Source organism: Homo sapiens, chromosome 5 (genome assembly GCF_000001405.40).
Source record: "Homo sapiens chromosome 5, GRCh38.p14 Primary Assembly".
NCBI lineage: Eukaryota > Metazoa > Chordata > Mammalia > Primates > Hominidae > Homo > Homo sapiens.
In genome coordinates, this window is record NC_000005.10 from 124381560 (window position 1) to 124403029 (window position 21470).

Consider the following 21470-nt stretch of genomic DNA (forward strand, 5'->3'; position numbering starts at 1 on the left):
GTGGCAGGCAGCTGTGTGCATGTTTCTGGAGTGTCCTGGGTATACCCTGTGGAAGTCAGGGTAGGAAAAATGGACCCTGTCCTCCAAATGTCAGGTATCTGTACACTGATTGCTGCTACTTCTGATCACAAACATACCGACAAAGAGACATGCAGCCATTGTTGTTTCACCTCCTCCATTGTTACAGCCCCCACACTCTAGGGCTAAAATGACTTCCAGAGGATTTAAACGGCTGGCACTCTTTCTCCCCTCCTTCTTTTATTATTCTTTTTTTCCACTTTTTGGATCCAGACATTAAAGACTCAGTTATTCAAAAGCAACTACATATATGGGGAAAATTTGAAAGTGACCGTGCATGCCTAGGAAAAGGTGCAGCTTCAGAAAATACTTGAGAAGACATTATATCTCACACTGACCTATGACATAGAGACAGGTTAGAATAACCAAAAAAACAATAAGCAAAACCCAGCAAACCCTGGGGAAGATGGAGAATCTAATTTCAAGAGTTACCACATCATTAGATTCAAATGTTCAGTTTTCAACAGAAAATCATAAGGCATGAAAACAAACAAATAAACAAACAAACAAAAAACATAGGAAAATATGGCCCATTCAAAGGAAAAAAGTAAATCAACAGAAACTATCCCTGAGAAAGACCTAATGGCAGTTGCACTAAACAAAAACTTTAAGCCAATTGTTTTAAATATGCTCAAAGAACTAAAGGAAGGTGTGGAGAGAGAAAAGACAATGATGTACGAACAAAATAAAAAATCAGTAAAGAGTTAGAAAATGTAAAAAGAAGCCAAAATGAAATTCTGGACATGAAAAATAGAATAACTGAAATGAAAAATTCACTAGAGGGATTCCAAGGCAGATTCAAGCAGGCAGAAGAAAGAATCAATGAACTTAAAGAGAGGACAACTGAAATAATTGAGTCTGAGAAACAGAAGAAAAAAAGATTGAAGAAAACGAACAGAGCCTAAGGGACCTGTGGTGTTGTGGGAAGCCAGGGACCCCAAATGGAGGGACCGGCTGGAGCTGCGGTAGAGGAACACGAATTGTGAAGATTTCATGGAAATTTATCAGTTCCCAAATAATACTTTTATAATTTCTTACGCCTGTCTTACTTTAATCTTTTAATCCTGTTATCTTCGTAAGCAGAGGATGTACATCACCTCAGGACCACTGTGATAATTGTGTTAACTGTACAAATTGATTGTAAAACATGTATGTTTGAACAATATGAAATCAGTGCACCTTGAAAAAGAACAGAATAGCAGCAATTTTTAGGGAACAAGGGAAGACAACCATAAGTTCTGGGGTAGGGCAAAAAGAGCCATATTTTTCTTCTTGCAGAGAACCTATAAACGGACGTGCAAGTAGGAGAGATATCGCTAAATTCTTTTCCTAGCAAGGAATATTAACATTAATATTAATATTAATACCCTGGGAAAGGAATGCATTCCTGGGGGGAGGTCTATAAACGGCCGCTCTGGGAATGTCTGTCTTATGCGGTTGAGATAAGGACTGAGATACGCCCTGGTCTCCTGCAGTACCCTCAGGCTTACCTGGGTGGGGAAAAAACTCCACCCCGGTAAATTTGTGGTCAGACCAACTCTCTGCTCTCAACTTTGTTTTCTGTTGTTTAAGATGTTTATCAAGACAATATGTGCACCGCTGAACATAGACCCTTATCAGTAGTTCTGCTTTTGCCCTTTTGTCTTGTGATCTTTGTTGGACCCTTATCAGTAGTTCTCCTTTTTGCCCTTTGAAGCATGTGATCTACTCCCTATTCTTACACCCCCTCCCCTTTTGAAACCCTTAATAAAAAATCTTGCTAGTTTAAGGCCCAGGTGGGCATCACGGTCCTATCGATAGGTGATGTCACCCCTGGAGTCCCAGCTGTAAAATTCCTCCCTTTGTACTCTTTCTCTTTATTTCTCAGCCAGCCGACACTTACGGAAAACAGAAAGAACCTACGTTGAAATACTGGGGGCGGGTTCCCCCAATACTGTGGGACACCACCAAGTATACCAACTTACATACTCTGGGAGTCCCACACAGAGAAGACAAGGATAAAGGGACAAAGAGAATAGTTGATGAAATAATGAATGAAAACCTCCCAAGTTTGGTGAAATGCATGAATACAAACATCCAAAAAGCCCAGCAAACTCTAAGTAAGAAGAACTCAGGGGTCTACACCACAACACATTTCAATCAAACTTTCAAAAGCAAAGGCAAAGAGAAAAACTTGAAAGCAGCAAAAGAGATGTGACTTGTCACATAGAAGGAATCCTCTATAAGATTATCATCAGATTTCTCATCAGAAACATTGGAATCCAGAAGACAGTGGATACATACATTCAAAATGCTAAATTAAAACAACAACAACAACAACAAAAATTGTCAAACCAAAATCCTGTATTTGACAAAACTGTTCTTCAAAAGTGAAGGAGAAATTAAGACATTCCCAGATTAACAAAAGTTGAGAAAGTTTGTTCCCACTAAATTTGCCACACAAGAAATGCTTGGGAGTCCAGGAAGGTGAAATAAAATGACACCAGAGAGTAAAGCTATATAAAGAAATAAAGATCTCAATAAAGGTAAATACATGGGCAATTATAAAAGCTAGCATTACTGTAACAATGGTTTGTCACTGTACTTTTTGTTCTCTACATTATTTAAGATACTAAAACACTTTGAAAAATAACAATCTAAAAGCTAATATTATTGTAACATTGGTTTGTAACCCCACATTTTTCTATTTATTTAAAACACTAATGCATTTAAAAAAAATTATTAGTTTATATTTTGGGGCATACTATGTAAAAACATGTAATTTTGTGACTTTAGCAAGCTAAAGCGATGAGGATGAACCTGTTAAAGGAGCAGTTTTGTATGTTATTGGAATGAAGCTGGTATAAATTGAAGTTAGACTGTTATAACTTTAGAATGTTAAATGTAATCTCCATGGTAACCACAAAGAATATGCCTATAGGATATATAAAAAAGAAATGAGAAATGTTTTTCTACAAAAAAATCAACTAAACACAGAAGAAAATAGTAATTCAGGAAATGAGGAACAAAATAGCTATTAGACATTTAGAAAACAAATAGAAAAATGACAGAAGTAAAACCTTTTTTTAGTAATTACTTTAAATGTAAGTGAATTAAACTCTCCAGTCAAAAGACAGAGATTTGCAGGATAAATTTAAGAATATAATCTAACTGTATGTTGTCTACAAGAGATTTACTTTAGATCCAAAGACACAAATAGATTTAAAGTGAAAGGATGGAAACAGATATTCTATGGAAATAGTAACCAGAAAAGATCAGAGTTAGTGATACTAATATCAGACAAAATAGTCTTCCATTTTTCAAAATTTACAAAAAATGAAGAAGGGCATTATGCATTAATAAAAAGTTCAGTACAGCAAGAATATATAATTATAAACATTTATGCACCTAATGACAAACCATTAAAATATATACATGTGCAACAAAAACTGACAGAACCAATGGGAGAAATAGACTGTTCTACAATAATAGTTGGAGATTTCAGTACCCCATTCTCAATAATGGCTAAAACAACCAGACAAAAGATAAATAAGAAAGTAGAGTACTTAAACAACAGAATAAACCAACTAGATCTAATAGACACACATTGAACACCGTACCCAGCAATAACAGCATACACATCTTCTCAAGTGCACATGGGACATTTTCCAGGATAGACTATATGTTATCTATATATATTTCAGTATATATATATATACTGAAACATAGATTATGTTTCAGTAGATTTTCAAAGACAGATATCATAAAAAGCATCTTCTCCAATCACAATGAAACAAAATTAGAAATCAATAACGTAAGTAAAAATGGAAAATTTACAATATTGTAAAAATTAAACAACACACTCTTAAACAACCAACAGATCAAAGAAGAAAGCACAACAGAAATTAGAAAATACTTACAGATGAATGAAAATGAAAGCCCAACATACCAAAATATGGGATGCTGTGAAAACAGTGCTAAATAATTTTAGGGGAAATTTATAGCTATAAACACTTAAAAACAAGAAGGATCTCAAATCAACTACCTAAAGTTACAGCTTAAAAAAAATAGAAAAAGAAACTATCAAAACCCAAAGTTGGCAGGAAAAAAAAGAAAAACGATGGTACAGAAATAAACAAAATAGAGAAATACAATACAGGAAATCAATAAAACCAAAAGTTGGTTTGTTTTAAAATATCAACAAAATTGACAAAACTTAAATAGATAGGCTAAGAAAAAAAACCACAGACTTAAATTACTAAAGTCAGAAATGAAAGCAGGAATACTACTGATTCTATAGAAATAAAAAGGATTGTGGGAAAGTACTATAAATAATTGCACACTAACAACTTAGATAACCTAGATTAAATGGGGAAATTGCTAGAAACACAAACTCTACCAAGACACAATAATGAAAAAAATATAAAATCTGAATAGACCTGTAACTAGAAGGATATTGAGTCAGTAATTTAAAATCTTCCAACAAAGTAAAGCCCAGGACCTGACGGGTCCTGGGTAAATTCCAACGAACATTTAAAAAAGAACTAACACAAATCATTTTCGAATTTTTCAAAAAGAAGCATTGAAAAGATGAGAACACTTTCTTACTCACCTTATGAGGCCAGCATTACCTTGATACCAAAGCCAAAGGAAGACACTACAAGAAAAGAAAATAGCAAATCAATATCTCTTATGAACATTCATGCAAAAATGCTTAATAAAATACTAGCAAACTGAATTCAGAAGCATACTATAAGAGTTATATAGCATGACCAAATGGGATTTATTCCTGAAATACAAGGATAATTCAACATACAAAAATCAACATAACACATCACATTAACAGAATGAAGGGGGAAAAAAAACACATAATCATCTTAATCAATGCAGAAAAAGGATTTCACAAAATTCAACACTGTTTCCTAATAAAAACATTCAACAAACTAGGTATAGAAGGAAACGACCTCAACATAATAAAAGCCATATATGAAAAACCCACAGTGAACATCATACCCAATGGTGAAAGACTGAAAGAATATCTTTGACAAGAAAAAATAAACAGATAGAATAGAAATGGAAAAGGAAGAACTAAAATTATCTGTTTGCAGATGATATGATCATCTATGTAGAATACCCTGAAGATTCCACATAAAAATGTTAGACCTAATAAGTGAATTAGGCAATTTAACAAGATACAAAGCCAGCACAAAATAATCAGTTACATTTCTATACACTAACAATAAACAATAAGAAATGGAAATGATGAAAACAATTTTATTTACAGTATCATCAAAAATAATAAAATACTTAGCAATTAATTTAATCAAGGAGTTGAAAGACTTATACAACAAAACAACTATAAAACAATGCTAAAAGAAATTAAGGAAGACAATAAATGGAAACATATCCCATGTTCATAGATTAAAAGACATGCAATGGATCAAAGAAATAAGTGTAAGTTCTAAAACTAAAATTCTTAGAAGAAATCATAGAGGAAAAAGCCTAACAACATTTTTTTTCACAATGACTTCATTGGCTATCACACCAAAGGCACAGACAGCAAAAGAAAACCATGGACTTCTTTTTTCTGTTGTTTTAACTTTCTTTATTTCCGTAGGTTATTGGGGAGCAGTTGGTATTTGGTTACATGAGTAAGTTCTTTCGCAGTGATTTGTGAGATTTTGGTGCACCCATCACCTGAGCAGTATACACTGCATCCAATTTGTAGTCTTTTATCCCTCACCCCCTTCCCACCCTTTCCTACTGAGTTCCCAAAGTCCACTGTGTCATTCTTATGCCTTTGTATCCTCATAGCTTACATCCTGAGTTACTTCACTTAGAATAATCATCTCCAATCTCATCCAGGTGGCTGTGAATGCCATTAATTCATTCCTTTTTAATGGCTGGCTGAGTAGTGCTCTGTTGTATATCTATGCTACTGTTTCTTTATCCACTTAATGATTGATGGGCATTTGGGTTGCTTCCACATTTTTGCAATTGCAAATTGTGCTGCTATAAACATGTGTGTGCAAGTATCTTTTTCGTAAAATAACTTCTTTTCCTCTGGGTAGATACCCAGTAGTGAGATTGCTGGATCAAATGGTAGTTATACTTTTAGTTCTTTAAGGAATCGCCACACTGTTTTCCATAGTGGTTGTACTAGTTTACATTCCCACCAGCAGTGTAGAAGTTTTCCTTGTTCACCACATCCATGCCAACATCTACTATTTTTTTATTTTTTGATTATGGCCATTCTTGCATGGGTAAGGTGGTATGGCATTGTGGTTTTGATTTGCATTTCCCTGATCATTAGTGATGTTGAGTATTTTTTCATATGTTTGCTGGCCATTTGTATATCTTCTTTTGTGAATTATCTATTCATGTCCTTAGCCCACTTTTTGATGGGATTGTTTTTTCTTGTTGATTTGAGTTCATTGTAGATTCTGTATATTAGTCCTTTGTCAGATGTACAAATTGTGAAGATTTTTTCCACTCTGTGGGTTGCCTGTTTACTCTTCTGACTGTTCCTTTTGCCATGCAAAAGCTCTTCAGTTTAATTAAGTCCCAGACATTTATCTTTGCTTTTATTGCATTTGCTTTTGGGTTCTTGGTCATGAAATCCTTGCCTAAGTCAAAGTCCAAAAGGGTTTTTTTCAAGGTTATCTTCTTGAATTTTTAGAGTTTCAGATCTTAGATTTAAGTCCTTAATCCATCTTGAGTTGATTTTTGTACAAGGTGAGTGATGAGGATCCAGTTTCATTCTCCTACATGTGGCTAGCCAATTATCCCAGCATCATTTGTTGAAAAGGGTGTCCTTTCCCCACTTTATGTTTTTGTTTGCTTTGTCAAAGATCAGTTGGCTATAAGTATCTGGGTTTATTTCTGAGTTTTCTATTCTGTTCCACTGGTCTATGTGCCTATTTTTATACCAATACCATGCTGTTTTGGTGACTATGGGCTTATAGTATAGTTTGAAATCAGGTAATGTGATGCCTCCAGATTTGTTCTTTTTGATTAGTCTTGCTTTGGCTATGTGGGCTCTTTTTTGGTTCCACATGAATTTTAGAATTGAGAAAACCATGGACTTCCTAAAAAAAGTTTAAATATGCTTCAAAAGATACTACTAACAGAGTAAAAAAAGGCAGTCCAAAGAATGGGAGAAAATATTTGCAAAGAATGTATCTAATAAAAAAAATTAATAGCCAGAATACACAGAGAATGCCTAAAATTCAACAACAACAAAACAACCTAATTCAAAAATGGACAAAGGACTTGAATAGACATTTCTCCACAGGTGATACACAGATTACCAAGAGGCAGAGGAAAAGATTCTCAACCTCACTAGTTATTAGGAAAATGCAAATCAAGGCTACCATGAGATATCACCCATTAGAAAAAGGTTAATATTTAAAAATCAGAAAATAAGTGTGAGCAAGGATGTGGAGAAATGGAACCCTTGTGTACAGTTGGTGAGAATATAAGTGGTACAGTCACTGTGGAAAACAGTATGATAATCCTGCAAAAAGTTAAAAATAGAATTTAAATATCATCCAGCAAGTCCACTTCTGGGTACAGGCATACATCAGAGATACTGTGGATTTGGTTCCAGATCACTACAATAAAATGAATATCACAATAAAGCAAGTCATACAATTTTTTCATTTCCCATTGCATATAAAAGTTATGTTTATACTATACTATAGTCTATTAAGCATGCAATACTATCATGTCTTAAAAAAACAATGTACATACCTTAGTTAAAAAAATACTTTATTCTTAAAATATTCTAACAATCTTCTGAGCCTTGAGCAAGTTGTCATCTTTTTGCTGGTGGAGGGTCTTGCCTTGATGGTGATGGCTGCTGACTGATCAGGGTGGTGATTGCTGAAGGTTGGGGAGGCTGTGGCAATTTTTTACAGCAATACAACAATAAAGTTTGCACATTAATTGACTCTTTCATGAAAGATTTCTCTGTAGCATGCAATGCTGTTTGATAGCATTTAACCTACAGTAGAACTTCTTTCAAAATTGAAGTCAATCTTCTCAAACCCTCTTACTACTTTATCAATTAAGTGTATGAATACTCTAAATCCTCTGTTGTCATTTCAACATTGTTCCCAGCATCTTAACCATGAATAAATTCCATCTCAAGAAACGACTTTCTTTGTTCATCGATAAGAAGCAACTTCTCATCCATTCAATCCTTATCATGAGATTGCAGCAACTCAGTCACATCTTTAGGCTCCACTTCTAATTCTACTTCTCTTAGTATTTCCACCACATCTGTAGTTAATTCCCCACTGAATTTTGAACCCCTCAAAGTCATCTACAAGGGTTAAAATCAACTTCTTCCAAACTCCTGCTAATGTTGATATTTTGGCCTCCTCCCATGAATCATAAATGTTCTTAATGGCACCTAAAATGACAAATTTCTTCCAGAAGGTTTTCAATTTCTTTGCCCAGACCTATGAGGGGAATCATTATCTATGACAACTATAGCCTTATAAAATGTATTTCTTCAATAATAAGACTTGAAAGTCAAAATTACTCCTTGATACACATGGATATTGTGCTAGCAGGCAGGAAAACATTAATCTCTTTGTACATCTTCATCAGAGCCCTGGGGTGACTAGGTGCATTGTCAATCAATGGGCAGTAACATTTTGAAAGGAACAGTGTTTTTTTGTTTTGTTTTGTTTTTGTTTTTGTTTTTTCCTGAGCAGTAGGTCTCAACAGCAGACTTAAAATATTCAGTAAATCATGCTGTAAACAGATGTGTTTTCAACCAAGCTTTGTTGTTCCATTTACAGAGCACAGGCAGAGTAGACTTAGCATCATTCTTAAGGCCCTTAAAATTTTGAAATGGTAAATGAGCACCGACTTCAACTTAAAGTCACTCACTGCATTAGCCTCTAACAAGAGAATCAGGCTATCTTTTGAAGCTTTGAAGCTAGCCATTGACTTCTCCTCTTTAGCTATGAAAGTCCTAGATGACATCTTCTTCTAATAGAAGACCATTAAAAATATATTGTTTAGTGTAGACACTATCATAAATGATCTTGGCTAGATCTGGATAACTTGCTGCAGCTTCTACAACAGCACTTGCTGCTTCACCTTGCACTTTTATGTTACAGAAATGGCTACTTTCTTAAATCTCATGAACCAATGTCTGCTCACTTCCAGCTTTCCTTTGGCAGCTTCCTCACCTCTCTCAGCCTTCAAAGAATTGAAGAGTTAGGGTCTTGTTCTGGATTAGGCTTTGGCTTAACGGAATGTTGCGGCTGCTTTGATCTTCTATCCAGACAACTCAGACTTTCCCCATATCAACAATAAAGCTGTTTCACCTTCTTATCATTTGTGTATTGACTAGAGGAGCACTTTGAATTTTCTTCAAGAACTTTTCTTTGCATTCACCACCTGGCTAATAGCTTTTTGAAACAAGAGTCCTAGTTTTTGGGCTATGATGGCTTTTGACATGTCTTACAAACTAAGCTTAGTCTTTTCTAGCTTTTGCTTTAAAGTGACAGATATGTGACCCTTCCTTTCACTTGAACATGTAGGCCATTGTAGGGTTATTAATTGGCCTAATTTTAATATTGTTGTGTCTCAGAGAATAGGAAAGCCCAAAGAGAGAGAGAAAAATTGTGGAATGACCAGTCCATGGAGCAGTCAGAACACATATACTTATTTATTAAGTTCACCATCTTATATAGGTGTGAATTGTGCCACCCCCAAGCAATTACAATAACATCAAAGATCACTGATCAAAAATCACCATAACAGATATAATAATAATTTAAAAGTCTAAAATATTATGAGTACTGCCAAAATGTGACACAGAGACATGAATGAGCACATGCTATTTGAAAAAAATGGTGGCAATAGACTTGTTCCATGCAGGATTACCATAAAACTTCAATTTGTGAAACCACATTATCTGTGAAGCACAATAAAGTGAAGCATGACAAAATGAGGTATGCCTGTATATAACCAAAATAATTGAGAGTATGGCCTTGAAGAGATACACCCATGTTCACAGAAGCATTATTTTTAATAGTTAAAAATGGAAGCAACCAAGTGTTCATTGATCAATGAATGGATGAGCAAGATGTGGTATATACATACAATGGAATCTTATGCAGCTTTAAAAAGAAGGAAAATCAGGCCGGCAGGTGCCTCAAGGGCGGGTGTGGTGATTCACGCCTGTAATCCCAGCACTTTGGGAGGCCGAGGGTTGGGGGGCCAGATCACTTGAGGTCAGGAGTTCCTGACCAGCCTGGCCAACATGGTGAAACCCCATATCTACTAAAAATACAACAATTATCCAGGTGTGGTGGCACACGCCTGTAATCCCAGCTACTTGGGAGGCTGAGGCAGGAGAATTGCTTGAACTTAGGAGGCAGAGGTTGCAGTGTGCTGAGATCGTGCCACTGCACTCCAGCCAGGGCAACAGAGCAAGACTTCGTATTAGAAAAAAAAAAAAAAAAGAAGGAAAATTGGACTTATATTACAACATGAATGAAACCTGAGGACATAATGCTAAATAAAATAAGCCAGCCACAGAGAAATAAATACTATGTGACTCCACTTATATGGAGTATCTAAAGTAGTCAAACTTTTACAAACAGAAAGCAGAATGGTGGTTGCCAGGGATTGTGGGGGTAAGGAAATGAGAAGTTATTCTTTAATGGATATAAACTTTCAGTTTTACAAGATGAAGTGTTATGGAGTTGAATGGTAGTAATGGTTGTACATTAACAATGCAGTGAATACGACTGAATCATACAATTAAAAACAAATAAGATGGTTAATTTTATATAATGTATTTTTACTCTAATAAAAAAATTTGAAAAGAAAATGGAAGGAAAAATCAAGTACTAATAACCAAAAGTTGACTAATGGGGAATGGCTAAATAAAAATAGGGCCCATCCATGAAATGGAAAACTATCTAGCAATTTAGAAGCATAAATTAATCTAGAATGCATTAGTATTAAAAAAATCTCTGAAACACATTATTGCTTGTACAGAGTATATATATATCAGAGAGTATATCGAGACAATATATATACAGAGAGCATAATAGGGCATACTGGTTAGAAGTGTAAACCTGCATGTGAACCCTGGCTCTGCCACTTACTGACAGTGCAATCCCAGGAAAGTTACTTACCCTCCCTGGGTTTTTCATTTTCTCATTAGCAAAATGGGGATACAGAGAGCCTTATAGTGTTGTTGTCAGGATTAATTAGAACAGTACCTGTTGCATAGTAAGTACCCTAAAAATATTAGATATCATTATTATTGTTTTAAAAATTCACAAATACCTTCTTTGTGCATGTACACATCATACATGTACACACACATATACATTAAGAGAAAGTGGTCCTGAAAGACACATACCAGTGTTGAAATAAGAATTATGAGTACAGAGAGAATTCACCTAGAGATGAGCCAGGGAGATATTTGCTTTGATCAATAACCGTATAAGAAAACTTTTTTGTTTCATTATGAAGTTAAATATCAAAACATATCGATTGTTTAAAAACTATACAACAAGGAGGAAGAAAGGAAGAAAGATGAGAAAGAGAGAATCCTGAGCAGAAGGCAGCCTGTTGAATATATAGGATCTATGGCCAAAAACCTTAAGTGCTATTATCTGGACTCAATAAGACATTGAATAGTGTTACTCCTAGAGTAATGGAATTAATGATTTCTGAGTAATTAAAGAATTGATAATTAATGAATGAAAAACAAGAATATGCCCTAGAAATATTTCAATAATCACCTGAAAACTTCCATAAATTGTTTAGATAGAAGTTCTTATTCATATATGTATATATGACTATATATACACAAGAATGTATACATATCTACATATATATGACATTTAGGTTTTATATAACATCCTACCATTCTGTGCCCTTGTTCTAATAGGATTTTTTGTTTGTTTTGTTTTGCTTACTTTCCTTTTCTTCTTGTAGAATGCTTTGAGCTTTGAAAAGCTCTGTATAAATATCAAACATTAAACACTAATTACAAGCTTATAAACTTAGTTTCTGTTGAAAGAGTGTTAGTAACTCTGTGCTGTCAACTCAGAGCTTGACAACAAAATGCCTCAATGAAATAAGCCCAGCCTTTGTAAAGAAAAGCAGCTTTTAGTGCCAAGAAGTTAGCACCAACTGCCATCTCAGCCTCCAGGGGGGCTCAGACAAATTGCATAATAAGAACAGATAAATGGAATCTCGAAAACCCGGACTTAGGAAAATGTCTTTTTGAGAGTTGAAAGCAGAGTCAGCAATGGAGCCCTTTAACTTAATCCTGGTCAGAGGCGAGCAGAGGAAGCTATACTGGAAGAAATCACTAAGTTGACTTCTTACCCTGCATTCCCTCATGCCCCAGCACCTGGACTGCCCTCAGTTACTCGCTCTGTCCAGTGCTTGCCTCCTGGCTTAGCTCTACCCTTCCCAAAGCACCTCTCATCCTCTTGACCACTGTCAGGGAAATAAAACAATCCTGTCAACCAAAGACCTCTCCATACCAATAGGCAAGACAGAAAACACAATTGATTCATGAGTAGGCATTACAGACTTACATGCATGAGAATGTGGACAAAGTCTGGGTAGAATTTAGCACAAGTTTATACGGGAAAGTAGAAGAGCAAGTAATTTAAATGTCCTTTTCTGAGATTACCTCCTGTATGTCTATGAGAAACTTATAAATTAATCTTGGAGTTTTTTGTTGTGCTGTTGTTGTTTACAATTCTAAGCATCAGAATGCCCATAAACTTGCATTATAAAATCAGAGGCCTGAGCCCATATAAAAATAGGGCTGATTATATTTTTAGGAACCATCCTACAGAGGAGAGGATGGGGAGAGGCAGCTGCATCCTCCTCTTTACTAAACCAATATAGCTTGATCAATTTACCTTACAACTTGAACACTAACGTTACAACACAAAGGGGAAAAATCTTGATTCATGTATCAAAACCTTGGATAATTCACTATTTGAGCCCTCTCTTGTCAGATGCAATTTCACAGCTTTGTCTGTAACATAAAACAAAATCTTGCCTTTTGGGCTGATGAAATGAGAATTGTCTCTTTTCCTTCTCTGGATTTGACTGACGTGGCCAAAGAAATGAAGTTTCTGTCAGGCTACCTTGAAGAGTGGGTCAGTCGTCTGTCTTCAAGGTCAAACCTGTGGCTTCAGAGCGGCTTCCCAAAGCCCTGTCTGCCTGCTGCATTCTGGGCTTTGCAGGGGTGGCAGGATTGCGGCAGGCCGAGGCTCCTCAGCCAGGAGCAGTTTGGAAAGACGTTTCGGCTCTCATCTCCTCCTTCCACCACCAATCCTCCTCACTCACCCGCCACCAGCAAGCACTCCTTCACTCCTGTCACTATTTCCACTTCCTACCCTTATGAAGAGGAAGCAGAAGTTCCAGGTTTTAAATGAAACACTCTTAAGAACAATCCTTAAGAAAGCAGCTGATTCTTAGAGAAAGTGCTAATAACACAGTCAATTTAACCCTAGCATTTGTAGCCAATTTTTTCAAATTCCCATTTAGTAGGCAACAAAGCTTTGCAGCTGAGCTCTGAGGCCTCGAGAGAAAGCAGGTCCCAAATAGTGAAGGTTTAGAATGAGGCTCCAAAGCCATGCCCCCCGTACTTTGTCCGCCACATCCTCCCCGCCAACAGATGAAATATCCCTTTGGTCTGTTCTGTTGACAGCTGCATTTTAAAAAATCTGATTTTTCCCAATCCGGACAGCATTATCCTTTACGATTCAGCACAGACCCCTGACAACTGGACTTGTGACGAGCAGATTACAAAGCTGGTTTATCCAGGCATTGTGTTTCTGCGGCTCTTTCTGAAGCCACAGCCTCCGCGGCAGCAGGGAGCACTAATTGCTCATTTGCGGCAGTGACCTTTTCAACTGGACAGCGCCTGGGATCTGGTTCCACGTTGATGTCTCTCTTCTTTACAGTGTGCTGGCAGGGAAAGAAGCACCCAGTGGCACTGAGTATAGTAGTATCTAGTGTCTGGACCCAGCTCACTCTGCTTCTCAAAGCAAGACCCGAGGAGCAGAGGTATCTGTTCTATTCACTTTGTTTTTGCACTTGGATTCTGACAGGAATTTAAGCCACTGGGATCAGGAGTGCATTAGGGCACAGTTATGGCAAGACACTTGTCTGGGAGTCACTCATTTTCAAAAGAAAACTGGACACATTTCCATCAGGCAGCAAGTGAAAAATATTCAGAGAGATCTATTTTGATATTTAATCTCCAAATCTTATATTTGGGATTGAGGTCAATATCCTATTTGATAGTCTCCCAGCTAAGAATCTACTTTCATTTGCTCACTGCCTGTTGTGTATGCAAAACGAGTACAACATTAATCTAGTGCAAATGGCATCTACGAAATTTTCCAGGAACATTAGCAGATTGTTGGCACTTTACGAAGGACTTCGCAGGACCAGAATGAGCTTGACACAGGTAAGGAGAGAAAAATCTGAGTGAAACATTGAGTGAACTGATCTCAGAATCCTGTGATACTGTCTGCAGATTGGAAAAAAGGGACACAACGAGACAGCCACAGTGCAAGGCAAGGAAGGGGCAACAAAGTGAGCATTGTCACATTTAGGTATTCTAGTTCATCTATCTGCTACCAAGAGCTGCCAATCAAAAATATACTGTCTGAGAGTGTGGCAGATTGCAGAGGACAGGAGACACCATACGTGTTCATCATCCAACCAAACCCTGACGCAAAACCCACTGAACATTTATTGATGAAAAGCAAAAATAGGCCACAGGGAGAAACCCAATGGAGCAATTACACCTAGGCTACATTTCTCAATGGTTGTATACACCAATTTTATTTTTCTTTTTGTACTCCACAAATAACTTGATGCTAAAACCTGAAGCATCAAATAAATAGTTCCTATCCACCGCCTCTCATAGCCCACGCATCTTACCTGTACTTTATCAATCCCATTCTCTCATAAGATATAGAAAACCTATGGCATGATGGGGTTCAAATATATGTATCTGAAATTTATTAAGAAATATGTTAAGATTGCTGATGGGGTGGCAATTAAGCCCCTGCCATCACTTTAAAGAGCTACCAAAAAGAAACCCAACAGAAATGTAAAGAGAAATTGTACTTTAAAAAGAGTAAGTATATTTTGAAAACGATAAGTAATAATGTCAAGTAAGATTATGATTCTATCCACACAGCTGGCCCTGACACTATTTGAAGGATGCCTGTGTGTCAGGGGAAGGAAGGGGATCTGGATCTGCCTCTCCAGCTTCCCAACAATTGCTCCTGTGATTGTTTCTAGTTTTCTCTTTCTCCCTTGGGAATAACATTTGCGTTCCAACTACCACATTCATTGCAATATTAACTCTATGCTGGTGTAAGTGCTTAAGCAAAAATCCTCAGAGAATTAAGTAAAAGGTATTATATGTAAATCCCTCTTGGGCACTTCATGCTGATAGCAACTAGCCAGAACTCAGTGATAGAATGAGGTTCTTAACAGACTTTTCGCAAAGAAAAGAAAAGCAATATTCCCTGTGAAATTTTATGAATAAGCTAGTCAAATCCAACCTCAGAGACAAATTGGTGGCTACCATGATGCCTAGCAATATGACAATGCACTTTGAAGGGAAATAATGACATTTCCCTAATTTCTCAGACATGTCACTGAAAAGTGTTCTTGAATTGCTCAGCTAAACATTAATTCCATTGTCTTCATTTAAAAGGGCATATTCTATGGCCCAAACCCAGTCTAAAAACCCCCACTGACTTCACAGGGAGATTTTCCTGAGTAAAGGTGACAGGGTACAATTCCATGTAGGCTGAGTGACTGTCTGTCATTTTTATTACTTGGGACTGAAAATGTTTTCTAGCAGTACAAACCCCAAGGGACCACATGGTGCCTAAATTATCCATCTGTAATGCTGTTTGGATCCTTGTTCATCTGACTCCACAAGGGACCAGAGTTACTCACCTGCTATGACCACATAGGCATAATTTCTGTGCTTTATATTACCGACCAAGGAATGCATTTTTCCAGCTGCGGAAAGTATAAATACAAATGTAATATTCAGAAGTGGAAGAAACACTGGAGTCCAGGTAGAACTAACTGATCTTTACCAGGGCAGAGCATGTATCTCTACAACCAAAACTAAACTGAGAAACAATTCACTGTGTGGGGGACTCAAAGATCTTTTCTGTGTCAGTCTCAATTATTGGTTGAGGGATGGTGAGTCATTTAAAAGAGGAGGTGAGAAAGAAGAGGTGGAGAGGTGAACTTCAGTCATTTTGTGAAGATCCTGAGTCTTTTCGAAATAACGAAATATTTCATATTTAGATATGTATGACACCAAGTACCCAGAAGATTCTTGAATATTCCATATATAATCATTTTTATGTTATTTTGGTGTCCTGTTCTACCTATGCTATTTTATAGAGTCAGAGAAATTAAAAACGATACAAATTGCAGTAACTAGGATTTTTGACTTCTTTTTCTAGAGTTCCCTCAGTAAAGACTTTGAAAATTAGAAAAATAGAAATTATTTTGCCCCTAGTGAAATAGGCAAGACATAACCACCCATTTTGCTGTAGTCTTTTTTTAAGGGTGAATGGCTACAAAAAGTCAACCAGGGAGGAACTACAACATATTCTTTTTTCCTAACATTGATTCAGTTTTCCATCTTTATGTAGTAAAAGAAACATGACAGAGAAACAAATGCCCTTCTATTGTTTACATTTGAGGTTTACAGAGAGAGCAATCAGCAGATTTTCTGTAAGATCCATCTATCTGTCACTGTGTTTTATTGGATATGGCTGCAGCTGAATCGAAAACAGGAAAGAGGAAAGAAGTGAAAGTGACAAAGATGGTTATAAAAATAGAAAAAAAAGAGTGAAATCTCTGGAGTGTAAGAGTGGACCAAATACAGCTGTGGGCAATATTCCCTCTGTTTTTATAAAGTGTGTGCATGTGCCTTGCCACATAAGGAACGAATTATGAAGACTAAGCATGTTTCATGTTTTTGGCATTGTATTCAGATGGAATTCATGATGAAGTTTATCAGGCATGTTTCATCCACATTATGCACAATCAGAACTCTGCCACATGGTAATTAGGTCAGCACCACCATCCCCCACAACCACTTCATATATATACAAAATGCAGCATCAATCAGTTCTGCTTGTCCACAGATGAAAGCCTAACTCAGTATGCCACTTAATAACCCCTATAATCTGGTCCCAACTTTTTTCCATAACCTAATTTCCCTTGCTCCTACCTGCCCCACGGAGAATGATCACTGCACAAGTGATTGCCATTTTCTCTTTCACGACCCTGTTACCTTACATTGACAGTATCGCAACACCCCAATTTCACCATGCTTTGTTTTTCTAAGTCTTGCCTTTCTTTAAAGATTTTCCTTACCATTTGAACAATGTCGCCCCCACTGCAACAACATTAATTCTTTCTTAGATTTAGATATCACCACAGAAAACTGGCGTGAAGACATAAAATGGTGTTAAACAGGAACCAGTAACATAAGCGCAGCCAGTTACTTAGTGGCTTCAAAAAAGTGCAATTATTTTATCTTCTTCCCTGGTTTCTGTGGGTGAGGAATTAGATTGGACGGTTGTAACTCAAAGTCTACCTGTGGTGGATTTGGAACAGCTGGGGGCTGGACTACCTAGGGCCTGGCCCAGCATCCCTTCATCTCTCTCTCTCTCTCTCTGTGTGTAGTCTCAGGGTCTCTCCATTTTCTCTATCTGAGCTAGTTTGGACTTCTTCAGAGAATGACTTCTTAATTAGCAGCCTAAAGCTTAAAGGGTAAGCATTCCAGCAAGCAAGGCAGAATGGAAATTGCCTTTTGTGATTTAGCTTCAGAATTTACAGAGGACATTTCCACCATAGTCCGTTGTTTCAAACAGTCATCAAAGCCTGCCCGATGCCAAGGGGAAGCAACATAGATCCCAGCTTTTGTGAGAAAGGATGTCAAAGTCATATTTATAGAAAAGGTTTGTGAGATAGGAAATGTTTCTGTGATCATCTTTAAAAAACACAATCTGCCAAAGGAGCAGATTAATTTTTTTTAAGAGAAAAGAAGGAATTTTGGGATTCTGCCATTTCCCTGCCAAAGAACAATGTTCCAGATACCTATTCAACTATTGTGGTTTTGCTTAGTTTTTATAGGCATGCTTGTCCAAAGGCATGTTTTAATTATTTTTTATTTGCATGTTGTACATTATTTTTTCCAAAATGCTAAAGTACACTTAGTTATGAAGAGGGGCGAGTTTATTTCTACACTTTATACATATTCACTGTTATATATCTTATATATAACAAGTTTTTGTCCCAGAGATGCTAGGATAATGTAATGCAACCCAAAAGTGATTAAAGCCCAAAGCAGCCTTCTTTAAGCTCAAGTAAATATGAAAGCAAAGGTGATATGGTCATTGAAAACATGGTTCTAGACTCTACCATTTTTATCACTGTCTAGTTCATTGTCTGCAGATAAATGTGACCTAAAACATAATGTTCCCTAGTGGAATACTTCACAGATTTTTTTTTCTTTTTTCTTTGTAATAGAGAAAGAGTCTCACTGTGTTGCCAGTGTTGGTCTGAAACTCCTATCTTCAAGTGATCCTCCTGCCTCGGCCTCCCAAAGCTCTGGAATTACAGGCATGAGCCACCATACCCAGCCCTTGACAGAGTTTAACGAGTGACACTGTCTTGAATCTGATGTTGGTGTTCTGAAGTACAATCCTTCATAACCCTGCCAAAGATATGACAATGTAGCCAGACCCAGGCTAGGTGCTGCCATCAAAAAACATGGTCCTAAAATCAAAGTGTACTTTCCAAATAACTCATGTTAGAAACCTGGACATCTCTAACGCTATGAAGAGGATACGTAGTCCATAGCTGGATTTCTGAGCAATTCTTCTTCCCTTTTTTTCATTCCCTTTGTTTATACCCCAGAATTCTCTCCTCTAAACTTTGAAAAATCCTCCTGATTTGAAACGAATCTATTTTATCTGCCTACCACATCTTTTTTCCTCCAAATTGGGTAGCATAACACTCAAGTAATGGCATACTCCTGCCCCACAGGCTAAAAATACCCAAGTAGACAAAGAATGTTCTTCAGTATGAACATCTGATGTTAATATTTTTTTCCCAAATCATTCTTTCAAGGGCAAGTGTGAGTGAAAAGCACTCACATGGTGAGTGGTGCCATGTCACCATGGCATTTCCTTTATCAAGCAAGTCCATCATTCAAATCCTTAATGGGTAATTGTCAGGGGTGGGAGAAGAACTTCTCATACTTTAGTATGCATATGAATATTACCTGGGAATCTCGTTATATTCTGATCCCATGGGTGTGGGCTGGGCCCCAGAGTCAGCATTCCTAACCAGCCCCCAGTTGGTGTCGAGGCTGCTGGTCTGGGAACTATACTTGGGGTAGCACCAACCTATTTTTAAACTATTATTTTTAGTTATTTAAATTCTAAATTGCTTGTTTTGAACTTTTTCCAGTTTACTGAAGATTTTGGAAGGTATGAGATAAATAAGAAAAGATACAAAGGAAAATCCAGTGATCTCAGCCAGCAAAAGCAATAGGAGTGGAAAGGCCATAGGCCAGTGCTGGGTTGGTGAGTTGCAGGTGGATCTGAGAAGGCAGCAGACGCAATGTCTCACCCTGAAGTTCCAAACCCGCCACTGCCCTCCCCACCCTACTCTGTCCTCCTTCCCCATCTGATTCCTGAACTTCATGCCTCAGAGACCCTCTGGGTACCATTACGGGTAAGTTCAGAGGTGAATTGTTAGTTAATGACTGAGCAGGGTTGGGAGCAGGGAGCTGAGAACTAGAAACAAACAGAGGCTAAAAGTTTGAATGAGATATGTGCGAGTTTCTCTGGGAGGCAGGGTGCAAGGACAGAGGAAGGATTGTCAAGAAGGAAAGGAAAAGCACCCACAGTGAAACCTGAAAGAGGCCCAAAACAAAACTCCCCTGATTTCCTCATTGCCTCAGGGCTGGGCCCCAGGTACATTTATTTCTTTTCTAATTACCTACACCTGAGTGAACATAGACAGGTATTTATATCTCAGTGAGCTGTTTAGGTGTGTTTATTTAGGTTTTATTTATAATCCCAGATTAGGTAATTTCCTTTTAAAAATTATAGGTGGACTGTGATGAGAAAGAGCTTTTATCTGATTGTTAGTAAGATCATAGGCGTAAAGAGAATTTTGCTTTTGAAAACTTACAAGGGCTATTGAGTTTTTCAATTAAACAATGTGGCCCTTCTAAGGTTACTAAAGAGAAACCCACATATTCACAATCAACCTCTAAGGCTGTTGAGGTTTCTCAGTTCTTTGAACCTCGAACACTCTGTGTTCCTAAGCCACTAGAGGTGGAAACAAAATAGAGCCGCTTATCACATTTCTTCTATTCCACACCTCAGTATTGTCATCGTCTCCACTTGCCCTTCAGCGGAGGAGATTAATAGATTTCAACAGGACCTTTTGTGGGCTCAGAGGAGCTGGCTCTGCACTTATTTGCCCTCTTTGTGTGGTTGTAAAGTGTTCTGACCAGATGACTCGGCATTGCCAGTAAGAACCCAGCCCCATGCCACAGGGACTCTATGGCCAGAAGCACTGCTTCCTCTGCCTTGTTTCTTGAGATCAGTGAAACAGGAATATTTTCTTGCGAAACCCTGATTCAATAACTGGTGGCTCAGAGCCCACAATAAAATCATGGTAACAGTCTATAAACATCAAAACATTAATCCTTTCCAAGTAGGAGCTGACGAGAATAAGCCTAATTGCAGTAATGACCTGAAGTATAGATGCTGCTCTGCATAAACTCTCACTCCCTGGTGGGAATGTTCCCATGGAACTCTGGGACTGTGCCATGCACACACCTAACTCTAATAATACTAAATCTAAACATGGGCATTCCTGCTGGATGAGCGGACTGATAGTCATTAAAGGCCTAAAAGGTAAAAAATTATTACTACTTTAAATCACTTTCCAAAGACTAAGCATTTTTTAAATTGTTAATGATGGCCCCATTCTCTCATTTAATTTCATTTTTAATTTTTAACTTTAAAAAACACTCCAGTTAGATACAAATATTTTAATTTTTATTTATTAGGGACCATATATTTATGCAATATCCATGTTTGCTACCATAGGCACTTGAGCTGTGATGATTTCACTTTGGTAACTTGAAAATGTATATAATAGATTTTTAAAATTAATTTGTAACAGGAATAAAAATTACCACAGTGTGAGAATTCACAAAGCTCCCTCTCCTTCCCCTTTTTCTATCCTCACTCCACAACTGGCACTAGCTTTTAAAGGGGATGAATTTTTGCATCCTGGATCAGCGCCTGGACTTT

At 37.2% G+C, this 21470-nt stretch overlaps 1 long non-coding RNA gene across 1 annotated transcript in view, besides 2 other annotated features; it reads right to left on the reverse strand.

The window, feature by feature from the left end:
- Nucleotides 1–21470, reverse strand: part of LINC01170 (long intergenic non-protein coding RNA 1170) — a 378727-nt gene that overhangs the window by 321766 nt on the left and 35491 nt on the right. The window contains exon 4 of the long non-coding RNA NR_125774.1: nt 4670–4714. This is a non-coding gene — a long non-coding RNA (long intergenic non-protein coding RNA 1170). The remainder of the gene's footprint in view (nt 1–4669; nt 4715–21470) is intronic.
- Nucleotides 20585–20754: an enhancer, noted in NCBI's record as "experimental_80867 CRE fragment used in MPRA reporter constructs". NCBI's record gives its function as "activates a minimal promoter by MPRAs in K562 erythroleukemia cells, with activity observed for the non-introgressed 5:123737922 or rs257701 variant allele {active_cell/tissue: K562}" and the evidence as "EXISTENCE:reporter gene assay evidence [ECO:0000049][PMID:34662402]".
- Nucleotide 20670: a transcriptional cis regulatory region, noted in NCBI's record as "Neanderthal adaptively introgressed variant 5:123737922 (GRCh37/hg19 assembly coordinates) or rs257701 in the experimental_80867 CRE". NCBI's record gives its function as "modulates activity of the experimental_80867 enhancer by MPRAs in K562 erythroleukemia cells {active_cell/tissue: K562}" and the evidence as "EXISTENCE:reporter gene assay evidence [ECO:0000049][PMID:34662402]".